Below are 12,070 nucleotides of genomic sequence, written 5' to 3' on the forward strand. Positions count from 1 at the left end.
CGCACCTGGTGGCTGAATGACGGGGTAAGGGGACGTCAAAAGAACCACAAGGCAGGACACCCTCCACGCGTGGTCACCCTCGGTCAATGGGGACATGGCCTTGGAGAGATGCAGGGATGAGGGAGGACGCAGGAGACCACCCCAGCCATCAGGCTCAGCCCTCACTCTGGCCTGGCTCTGAGCGCAGCAAGGCTGGGGTGTGGCAGGGACACTCCTGGGCCAAGGCACTCAGGGCCAGATGCACAACAAGCCATGGACGGGGCCGAGGGGAGCCTCAGGCAGACCCAGCCGCACAGGACGCCCCCAACTGCTACTCGACTCATCCCTATTAGAAGTAGTCAAGGTTGGGCAGGGTGCAGTGGCTCAAGCCTGTAATCGCAGCACTTTGGGAGGCTGAGGCAGGTGGACCGCTTGAGCTCAGGAGTTCGAGACCGGCCTGGGCGACATGGTGAGACCACCCCTTCTACCAAAAATACAAAATAATAGCCGGGCATGGTGGTGAGCACCTGTGGTCCCAGCTACTCGGGAGGCTGAGGTGGGAGGATCCCTTGAGCCCAGGGGCGGGAGGCTGCGGTGAGCCTGAGCCGAGGTCACACCACTGCACTCCAGCCTGGGTGACAGAGGAAGACCCTGTCTCCAAAAAAACCCAAAAAAACAGTGGCAGCCACAGTGATTCTTAAGGAAAGGAAAAAGAAAAGGGGACGGGAGGGGAAGAGGGGGTGGAGGAGGCAGGCCAGTTCCGAGTGGCAGGTGCCCGGCCCACGCCGCCTCAGGTTAAGTAGGGCGCACGGAGCCAGGCACTGCCACTGAGAGGCGCCAGACCTCACCCAGATATCCTGCTTCTCGCCGATCGGGAAGTTGGAATACAAGTCTATGATTTCTGGTGTTCTATACATTGGTGTTGTATTCCTCGTGATCTGAAAAAATACAAACATTTCAAAGGAAAAGTTGCATCCCACAAACAGTATTTTTTATGTTGCACCACTTCCGTGCAGCTTTCCAAATGCACAGCAGACTGAGGGGCAGCCTGTCCCGCACACTATGCCCCGGGATGACCTCAGGCCAGTCGGCCCCATGCACCAGCTCCGCTGCTCATCTTCGGCCTCAGCGCGCTCCTTACGATGAGGACTGAGTCATTCACCTCCCTCAATCTCCTACGGCCTCCCGTGCTTCATGGCATGTCGGCACCGACGTATTGGCCTGCTGCGCACCAAGTCCGCTTGCTGAGGAGAAGGGTGTCTCACCTGGCACAAGGGCCCCGCTCCAGAGTGGCCGCACCCAGAGCAGCTTCTGTGACACCCAGAACCCCAGGGTACGTGAGGGTATCTGGGAGGAGGAAGCCGTCCACCCAAGCTCACCCGACTGGTTCAAGGTTAACAATGGAGAGCCTCACAAACACACGGAGGCACTTGCGAGAGGCAGAGGCTGGGGCCACAGAGCTGTGAGGAGAGAGTGAATCTCCGTGCATGGCAGACATGTTGTGAGAGGCAGAGGCTGGGGCCGCAGAGCTGTGAGGAGACAGTGAATCTCCGTGCACGGCAGACACACAAACCCCATCCTCAGCTGCAGATTCACAGGAGAGCAGGGGGCAAGTGGGCTCTGCAGTTATACAGCAGGACAGCGCACGGCCTTGGGCAGGCCACAATTTCTTAAAGGGAATGGGAAAATGAGAGCTTACGGAAAGCAGGATAAAGCGCCCTCCACTCATGCTGAAAAGCACGAAGACCTGCTTTCCAGGAATGACCTGCCTGAGGCCGGGACAGTCAGCTACCAATGCAAGACACAAGAGCAAGAAGGCCCAAGTGCAGAGAGCGCAAGTTAACTCCTCCAGCTCCAAGACACAGGGTGAGAGCAGGCTACGTGTGGGCAGAGACGGCATCTATCTGCCCATCTCTGGGAAAAGAAGCTTCGGAGGAGAGCCAAGGACGTGAGGGGCTCAGAGGAAGGAGGGGCTGTGAGAGGGCATGGATGGGGCCACCCTGTGTTTTCAGCTCCACTTCCTGTTACCTTCAACTGCTCTAAAAAATAAAGTCTGTTTATTACATTGCTCACGCCTGTAATCCCAGCACTTTGGGAGGCTGACGCGGGTGGATCACAAATGACGTCAAGAGATAGAGACCATCCTGGCCAACACGGTGAAACCCCGTCCCTACCAAAAACACAAAAATTAGCTGGGCGTGGTGGTGTGTGCCTGTAACCCCAGCTACTCGGGAGGCAGAGGCAGAAGAATCGCTTGAACCCAGGAGGCGGAGGTTGCAGTGAGCCGGGATTGCACCACTGCACTCCAGCCTGGTGACAGAGCGAGACTCAAAGCACCCCGGCGGAAAACAGCACTCCGCACTCAGGGCGTGGAATGTGGGAAGGGCCAGCTTCCCCCAGCATAGGCCCCACTCAGCTCACCTCTTCCTCCACCAGGGCTCGCCTCTGGGCGCTCCAGCTGTAGTCAGGGTAGTGCGAGATGGTCGTGGCACTGCCAAAGTCACACAGCTTAATGGTCCCTTGGTTACTAAGCAACAAGTTCTCAACCTGTAAAATTCCACAAGACAGCCCCGTGAACTTGGCGTAGACAGAGATGGGACTTCAGGGAAAACGAACGGGTGTGAGACACAGCCAGGGCCCTTCGCAGACAGCACTCGCCCAGGGCCACGGCTGCCGGGTGCCTGCAGCACCTCACACCTGCGGACACAGCCAGCTCTGCACCAGCAGCTCGGGGTGCAGGGGCCGCTCCAGGCCTAGGCAGAGGGGCCCTGGCGGGTGGGCCGGCCTGAGAAGCGGGCCCCGAGGGGCTGAGGGATTTCACAGAGTTCAGTAAATGAGCCTTCCTCAAAGATGTCTTAAATTACTTCTGATCAAATGTAATATGTGTAATTCAGAAAAATAAAAAGCAGAAAATTAAAAACCACCCATAAATCAAAGAAAGATAATCCAGTTAATAATGGGGCTCACAGGCCGGGCGTGGTGGCTCACGCCTGTAATCCCAGCACTTTGGGAGGCCAAGGCGGGCGGATCACCTGAGGTCAGGAGTTCGAGACACGCCTGACCAACATGGTAAAACCTCGTCTCTACTAAAAAATACAAAAATTAGCCAGGCATGGTGGCGGGCGCCTGTAGTCCCAGCTACTCAGGAGGCTGAGGCAGGAGAATCGCTTGAACTTGGGAGGCGGAGGCTGCAGTGAACCGAGATTGCGCCGCTGCACTCCAGCCTGGGTGACAGGGCAAGACTCCGACTCAAAAAAAAAAAAGTATACAGAGACACAAAGAACTAGAAAGGGCCACACAATTGTGAAGCCCACATTACACCTTCTGGCGCAGCTCTGATAACAGGGCATGGGAGCTCGGGCCAAACAGGGAATCCAGCGAGTGCTGCTGAGAAGCCACGGACGCCAGAGGCTGCACGCGTGACAAGGCAGCAACGCAGTGACTCAGCCCCACAGTGCTCACGCCCCACACAACACCCATCTTAATGGCAGAGCCATGGCAAAACAGCTGCCAGCACCAGGCATCCATGTGGAACGAAAGGAGAAAGCCTCGCCCCCAGCTCACACAATCAAGGAAGCCTCAGCCCCAACATTTAGGCAAACCACAGATCTTTCGGAAGATGGCCCAGAGGAGCTCCTTCTGAGATAGGGAAGGAGCGGCTTCTTCAACAAGACAGACAGCACAGACGTGGCAGGATGGCCAGCACAGGCATCCCTCTGGAGAGGAAGAACAATGCCAGCACAGGGCTCCAAGAGGGCAGCACGCCAGCCACAGATGGAAGGTGCTCGGCACACACGCGGTCAGTACGGGCTCCCACAGGCAGCACAGGGCTCCGAGAGGGCAGCACACCAGCCACGGACGGAAGGTGCTCGGCATGCACGCGGTCAGTATGGGCTCACACAGGCAGCGAGAGGAAGGCAAGTCGAGGAAAGGCAGGCATTTTCCCAGAGGAAGCCCAAGTTCTGATAAGCCAGCCTCATCGACAGGAGAAAAAATGCAAACTAAGGCCATGGGCACCCAGGACAGGCTGAGGGAGCAGCACCCGCCATGCCCCAGGACAGCAAAGTGCAGAGCCGTGGCATCCAAGAGTGCAAGGGGACGCCCAGGGTTAGATGCAGACGCTCTCCAACCACAGCGCCCTGCAGACCCCAGTCCTAGAGAGGACGCCTGCTCCGCGGACCAGCAAGCTGAACAGGCTGTCCACGTGGTGCAGACAGGATGGCTCACCATAAACAAGGGAAAGAAACGGACACACATGCCACCCATGGCCGACCAGAGAAACCCAGTGAAGCCTAAGGCCACCACTGGCCCCCGAGGAGATGCGGGCCACATACAGGACCGGGGCCTCTGAACCACAGGGCTGAGCAAGAAAATCAGATGCAGAGCGTGGGGCGAGGCTCCCCTCACAGGACGCCCAGAGAAAAGATCAGCGACCCTGGCTCGGATGCAGAGCACACAGCGGGGAGATGCAGTGGCACACGGCCACTGAAGGCCCAGGAGTGCCCATCCCCTCGCGTGTGCCCGTTCCCATTCTACAGCCAACAGAGACGAAGCTGTGCGCACAGCAGGACGATGCACAGGGCAGGCGAGTGGGGCCACCTGTGCCCGTTCCCATTCTACAGCCAACAGAGACGAAGCTGTGCGCACAGCAGGACGACGCACGGGGCAGGCGAGTGGGGCCACGTGTGCTGCCTGCCCCTCCGCAAACAGCCGTCCAGACTCCCACGGCGGAGGCCACAGGTGAACACACGCGGGCTGCAGGGCTGGCCTGGGTTCCCGCCACGCCGCTGTGGAGCAGCAGCAAGGCCAGTGCTGTGAAGTGCAGGCCTGGCTCACAGACACGGATTCTTCACCAATTCAACCCTTCTGTTTCTGTTCTCCTTAAAATACACACTCAAGCCCCGCTACACGACCCATCACACTTCAAAAATGCGAACCAGGAGGGTCTCGGTGTCATGAGAAAATCCACCACTCAGAGACTCCTCAGGAAGAACCACCCAGACAGCAAACAGCACCTTCCACGGGCAGGACTGGCCCCTCATGGAGCCCTGCAGCCCCTTCCGTCAGAATGGGGCCTCAGGCGCATGGGTTTCTGGAAACCAGGGGTCTTGCTTGCAACCTTGAAGAAGCTTCCCTCAAAAGCAACCCTGTGTGCTGGGCAGAATGTACTTTTAGAAAAGTAAAATACAAGGAAAGAAGAAACAGAAGGAAGAGAGGGAGGGAGGAAAGGAAGGAGAAGGGGTGAAAGGGCCTGGGGCATGGCTCAGGAGCAGGCTCCACAGCGGTGGCCATGGGAGCGAAAGGGCCTGGGGCTCAGGAGCAGGCTCTATGGCGGTGCCCACAGGCTTCTGCCATGGGGCATCTGTCCAGTCGGCCACCTTACACCCTGGCATTCTAGGCCCTCTGAGTTCAGGGGACAAACGAAAAAGGCCACACTTACCCATTTTCAAAATCTACGTGAAGACACCTGTGCTATAAAGTAGGAGTGTACAGCCAAGTAGAGAAAAGGCAGCCCTAACCAGAGAAACACAGAGGGAAGCTGCCTGCCAGAGCCTTGGCCCTGGGTGGGCTGAGGCAGGCTGAGGCGGAATGAGCCTGTGCAGTTAAGAACAGCTCAGCATGGGTGCCCACGGCTTAGGCACCCCCACCCAGGGCACACAGGGAGAGCCACGGCCTTGGATCCCCCACCCAGGGCACACGGGGAGAGCCACGGCCTTGGATCCCCCACCCAGGGCACACGTGGAGAGCCACGGCCTTGGGCCTCCCACCCGGGGCACACGTGGAGAGCCACGGCCTTGGATCCCCCACCTAGGGCACACGGGGAGAGCTGGGGGGCTCTGAGGCCTCCTAGGCACCCACGAGCAGACGCTGGAGAGGAGGCGGGGCCCAGGTGGCTGCATGGGCAGACATGAGCTGATGCACGGGGTGCAGGGCCAGGTAGACACAAGGATACAGCTCCCACCTCAGGTCACACAAGGTCAATTCCAGATGAACGAAACCTCTGGACACAGGCCAGGTAGATTTCAGCAGCTGGAGGAGCAGCTGAGGCGGGTGCTGGGAGCAGGATCTGAAACACAGCTCCGTGCTCCACAAGAGACGCCACGGGGCTGGGGCCTCACTGGCCTCCTCGTCCCCTTGGCCTGGGCAGTGGCGGGGAGCCAAGGACAGCACAGGGCATCCTCCACAAGCCGTGGCCAGAGGCGCCGCTCCCGATTAGCGAGGTCTGAGAGAAGCCACACTTTGGGAAAACCAGGGAAGGCTGAGAACAGGAGGGCAAGAGACAAGGCTCGGTTCCTCCCACCTCACTGCGGATAATGGTGTCAAAACCACATAAAAAATGTCCTGGCCGGGCGTGGTGTCTCACGCCTGTAATCCCAGCACTGTGGGAGGCCAAGGCGGGAGGGTGACTTGAGGTCAGGAGTTCGAAACCAGCCTAGACAACATGGTGAAACCCTGTCTCTACTAAAAGTACAAAAATTAGCCCGGCGTGGTGGCATATGCCTGTAATCCCAGCTACTCGGGAGGCTGAGGTAGGAGAATCGCTGGAACCCAGGAGGCAGAGGCTGCATGAGCCGAGATCGTGCCACTGCACTCCAGCCTGGGCAACAGAGCAAGACTCCGCCTAAAAAAAAAAAAAAAACAGAAATGTCCTCACGTCCCCAGAGACATGGACAAAAGTATCTGGGAGTGATAAGGCTTTAAAACTTTGGCAGCCTGGGAGCGGTGGCTCACACCTGGAATCGACCCCTTTCAGAGGCTGAGGCGGGTGGATCACTCGAGCTCAGGAGTTCTGGACCAGCTTGGGCAACATGGTGAAACCCCATTTCTACTGAAAATACAAAAACTAGGCAGGCGTGGTGTGCGCCTGTGGTCCCAGCTACTCAGGAGGCTCAGGTGGGAGATCACCTGGGCCAAGTCGGCCGAGGCGGCAGTGAGCCCCGTCAGTGCCGCTGCACTCCAGCCTGGGCTGTAGAGTGACTGACTCAAAAAAAAAAAAAAAAAACCCCAAAAAACCTCTTCAGCAAAAGCCTCAGCACGGAGGACGAGGCCCACCATGGGCAGGCCAGGCACAGGCTTCACAGATAATGGAGAAGCCTCACAACGTCCTAGGTTTTTTAAAAAACACAACAGCAGGAGTGAAAACTGGGCCACAAACCAGAAGACGCCGGCAGCACAGGCGACACTTAGCAGATTATGAGAATACACAAGCTGCTCCAACGAACCAAACACACAAGCCAGTGGAAAATCTTTGAAAAAGGCAAGAAACAAAAGGAAGTTTACTGAAGAGCAAGACCCGAATGACTATAACAAACATTCAACTTCATTAACATCAGGAAAAGGCAAAATCACAACCCGTCAGACTATACTCCCCACCAGGCCAGCCAAAATCAACACAGGCAGCTCAGGGCATGGACAGCCCACGGGGCAGGAGTGTCCTCTGTGGGGCTGTGGGAAGCAGCCACATCACATGGAAACCGCGCAGTGCCGGCAGCAGCACGGAGCGCAGGCCCAGCCCCGGCCCAGAACCACCTGTGTGGCGGTGTGGTGGGCAGGGATGGAGCGCGAGCCCAGCCCCAGTCTAGAAGCATCTGTGTGGCAGTGTGGTGGGCAGGACGGCCCTTTTACATGCAGCCAGTGGCTCATGCCCACATCACGCCAACCCCGGGATGCCACGCCTCGGAGAAACCCGTGGTGACAGGAGAGATGGGCAGGAGAGTCTGCCGGTGAACGGAAGGGGAGGTGCAGTGGGGGGACAGTCAGGAAGTGCAAAGAGCTCCCCTCAAGCTGAGTAGGCAAGGGGTCCGGCCCCCGACCCCAGCGCCTGAGACAGGGCCAGGCAGAGGAGCGCCAGGCTTCCTCCCAGCTCCAAGAGGCCGAACCAGGGAGGCACTGTGGGGTCCAGGACTGCCCAGGGGCCAAGGAAGGGGCACTGGGTGAGCAGGAGTTGGGGGCCTGGGCCAACACCACTGGGGGGCTGAGGAAGGAGCGTGGGATGAGCAGGAATGCGGGGCCTGAACTGACACCACCAGGGGACTGAGGAAGGAGCGTGGGGTGAGCAGGAGTGCGGGGCCTATAGTGACACCACCGGGGGGCGGTGGGGGGGCGGCCGAGGAAGGAGTGTGGGGTGAGCAGGAATAGGGTCCTGAACTGACACCACCGGCGGGCACCCTCGTCCACAGCTCCCCACGGAAACTGGAGTGAGCAAGCATCCAGCATGGGGACCTGGTATTCCAGACGGAAGCTCCAGGCTGTGAGCACCCCCAACTGGGCGTGAAGGCCCCCAGCAGGGAGGCGGGGCCATCCCGGGATCTCTGTCGGCAAAGGCCTGTGAGACAGATGCTAATTTTCTTCAGGGCTGGAAAAGCAACGTTTCTGGAAGATCCGCTTCCACTGTTGAGAGGCTCACGCACATCTTCTAGGTGAGATGGTGTAGCCTCACCTGCTCTCACCCCTGCATCCTAACTGAGCGGGAGCCCCCCACAGAGGCTGTGAACCGCGTGTGGAGGGAGCCACTACCTTGTGGTCCCTGTGGATGATGGGCGGCTCCTAACCGAGTGGGACCCGCACACAGAGGCCTTGGCAGCTGCGTGTGGAGGGAGCCACTACCTTGTGGTCCCTGTGGATGATGGGCGGCTCCTAACCGAGCGGGACCCGCACACAGAGGCCTTGGCAGCCGCGTGTGGAGGGAGCCACGACCTTGTGGTCCCTGTGGATGATGGGCGGCTCCTAACCGAGCGGGACCCGCACACAGAGGCCTTGGCAGCCGCGTGTGGAGGGAGCCACTACCTTGAGGTCCCTGTGGATGATGGGCGGCTCCTAACCGAGCGGGACCCGCACACAGAGGCCTCAGCAGCCGCTACCTTGAGGTCCCTGTGGATGATGGGCGGCTCCTAACCGAGCGGGACCCGCACACAGAGGCCTCAGCAGCCGCTACCTTGAGGTCCCTGTGGATGATGGGCGGCTCCTAACCGAGTGGGACCCGCACACAGAGGCCTTGGCAGCCGCGTGTGGAGGGAGCCACTACCTTGAGGTCCCTGTGGATGATGGGCGGCTTCTGCCGGTGCATGTGCTGCACGGCGCGGCACGTCTGGTAGAAGATCTTCAGAACCGTGTCGCACGAAAGGGGGCCTCGAGATTCCATTTTCTTCAAAAATTCCACCAGCTGCCCTAAAAGAGAATGAAACTCACATGGAGGCAGGAGAACAGGGTCCGGAGACAGGGAACCTAGGGCTGTTTCACGCGGACTTCCCAGAACTAAATGGAAAGGAAAACCCTGACTTTCCACACCTAAGTAACAAAACGACCAGAGGTGACTCCCTTTGACCTTTTCTGCCTGGCAGATGGGAAACTGCCTGACTGCAGATCTCCTCTTCGTTTGCAACTCTGTAACTTCACCCTGTCTTCTGATTGCTTTTCGTAACCAATCAGATGTTTGCACAGGAGTGTGACCTTCTGGTTGGCTGCTTTCTGCAACCATTAGGCTGATGGCGGGCTACCACTTCGTTTACATGAGGTGAGCACAAAGTGGCCAGTGGGAAACCTCTAGGGGGTATTTGGACCCGAGAAGATTCTGCATCTGGGCCCTTGAGCCGCTGCTTGGGCCACCCCCACACCGTGGAGTGTACTTTTGTTTTCAATAAATTCCCGCTTTCGTTCTTTTGTTGCTTCATTCTTTCTTTGTTTCGCTGGGCGTTCTGTCCAGTTTGTTCAAAATGCCAAGAACCTGGACAACTTGCAGTCACGACTCTCTACGGTTAACATCATCACCGTGGAGCAATCAGTGCTCTGCCCTCCCTGGCCCCAGGCCACGCTACAGACTCTGCCACGCCGCGCCACGCTAGGGGCTCCGCCACGCCCCATGCCATGCTACGGACTCCGCCACGCCCCATGCCACGCTACGGACTCCGCCACGCCCCATGCCACGCTACGGACTCCGCCACGCCCCAGGCCATGCTACGGACTTCGCCACGCCCCAGGCCACGTTACGGACTCCGCCAAACCAGGCCACGCTTCGGACTCTGCCACGCCCCAGGCCATGCCACGGACTCTGCCACGTTGGGCCACATTACAGACGCCACACCACACTTTGAACTCTGCCATGCCCCAGGCCATGCTACGGACTCCGCCACACCCCAGGCCACGTTACTGCAGACGCCACCACACCAGGCCACGCTGCCTTTTCCAGCCACAGTCCCAGTTAAGCCCACCCTGAGTGCCGCTCCCACCTTTCCTTCCTTCAGCTGCTGCAGAAAGGGCTGCAGGTATGAGGATGCCCACCTCAGCCCCGTGTGTGGGACCACCACCCAGTGGCAGGGGTGGGCTCGGAGCAGCCCCACAGTCAAGTCACACACAGAGCAGAGGCCAGGGGGCAAGACGCCCAAGCGTCACCGAAGCAACAACCGCGTCAGCATCCCAGCAGCTGAGCTGGCATGCCGTTAACGTGAGAACCACATCGGCATCCCAGCAGTTGAGCTGGCGTGCCGTTAACATGAGAACTACATTGGCGTCCCAGCAGCCGAGGTGGCAAGCCATTAACGTGAGAACCACACTGGCATCTCAGCAGCCGAGCCGGCGAGCCGTTAACGTGAGAATCACATCTGTGTCCTGGCAACCGAGCCAGGCATGTCATTAACATGGATACAAAGAGAAATGACTACAAATACACAAGTGCTCAAACCTCTAAGTGAACACTCAGTGTCCTCAGATGACAAATGATCATTCTCACATTCACGACAGTATCAGTGCCTGTGCGTGACCCACACCCCAGGGAGCCCGTCCTGCCATGGCTGGCACCTTCCAGGCACCCTAGCCCTGGCCCAACCAGGAAACCAGGGATGTGGGGCCGGGGCAGCACGCAGGGCTGAGGACCTGCTGGGGACTGAAGCATTCACACTGCCAGTCACCCCAGCACCCCTATGCAGCCCCCACAGACGTGCAGACCCAACCCATCCTGCTCCTACCCTGATCTTACCCTGGGTCTTGCCCACTTCAGCTGGCCACAGTCCATGTGTGGCATCATCCCTGGGGCCTCTGCATCTTGTGCCCCATCTTTTCAGCCCCGTGCTCCTGCCTCTGCTCTCTACAGAGCAGCCACCGTCACCCTCTGCTCATCCCACTCCACACCCCTGAAGGCCACGACCCCTGCAGCCCCAGAGCCAAGGCCAGTACCACCACCCACGGAACCCACACTCAGGGTCTCCCCCACGCTGCCAGAGCTTGCGCTCCCAGCCACACTGGCCTCCCTTCCTCCCTGCCTCAGGACCCCTCACAAGCTGCTTCTGCGGCCAGGATGCCTCCCAGACCGCCCCTTCTGCTCACCTCCCAAGGAACCAACTCTGCCCACACCACCTAAACGTGCACCCTTCTCCTGGGACTCATTCTCTCCCTGGCTCTTCGAGCCACCCAACCACCTGCCATGGGCATGGATCAGCTGTGTCTGGCGAGTCACTGAGCCCCCGATGCCTGCACACAGCAGAGCGTGTAGCCGACTCAATTCCACTGACAATGAAGGCATGGTGTGAGAGCCGGTCGGGACCTGCCACAGCTCAGGCTGGGCCACGCTAGAATCGACTCACAGACCGGACCCACCTGCGTGTCCCCAGCACAGCCCAGCACTGCCCCCACCTGCACCCAGCTGAGGGGCCCTCCCACTCCCCCAGCTCTGCCGGCCCTGGCCCTCAACCCCAGGTGAAAGCCCTCTCAGCCCTCACCACAGCTCCCTCAAAAGCTTTGTGCTGACCCTCTGAGAAACAGGGGGGCTCTCAGGAAAAATGAGGGGCACCCATAGAAGGAATGGGGTGCTCAGAAAGAGAGGAACAGACCCGGGAGAGGCTGAGGCCAGGCCCGGGGAGTCAGAGTGGGGGTGACTTGCCCTCTACGCTGGCCATCATGGATGGGCGAGTCTGTTTCAGTGGTAACTGGGCCCCCTGTTCAGTGCCTCATTCTCAGTGAGAATAAATGGGGTTTTTAAAAGTAAAAATTCTGTATGTGGCTGAGTGGGGAACCGGTATGTGGCTCTTCCCTCAGAGGACACTGGAGGGGTTGCCTCATGGGAGGGACCGGGCACATCCCCGGAGCCCGACCTCCAGGC

The 12,070-nt window shown here is 59.0% G+C and overlaps 1 protein-coding gene across 48 annotated transcripts in view; it reads right to left on the minus strand.

Moving 5' to 3' along the window:
• GAK (cyclin G associated kinase) overlaps window positions 1–12,070 on the minus strand; it is an 83,040-nt gene that overhangs the window by 46,356 nt on the left and 24,614 nt on the right. For 34 of the 48 annotated variants that reach the window (XM_047450028.1, XM_047450024.1, XM_047450025.1 and 31 more), the window contains 3 exons: window positions 9,005–9,147; window positions 2,401–2,526; window positions 828–917 (listed from right to left, as the gene is read on the minus strand). In XM_047450028.1, the coding sequence (XP_047305984.1) occupies window positions 828–917; window positions 2,401–2,526; window positions 9,005–9,147 (359 nt within the window). Of the gene's footprint in view, window positions 1–827; window positions 918–2,400; window positions 2,527–8,766; window positions 8,827–9,004; window positions 9,148–12,070 lie in introns of those variants that run through there. The other 14 variants (XM_047450032.1, XM_047450022.1, XM_047450019.1 and 11 more) reach the window with 3 other exon arrangements.

The sequence above is a fragment of the Homo sapiens genome, chromosome 4 (genome assembly GCF_000001405.40).
Source record: "Homo sapiens chromosome 4, GRCh38.p14 Primary Assembly".
In the NCBI taxonomy this organism is placed as follows: domain Eukaryota; kingdom Metazoa; phylum Chordata; class Mammalia; order Primates; family Hominidae; genus Homo; species Homo sapiens.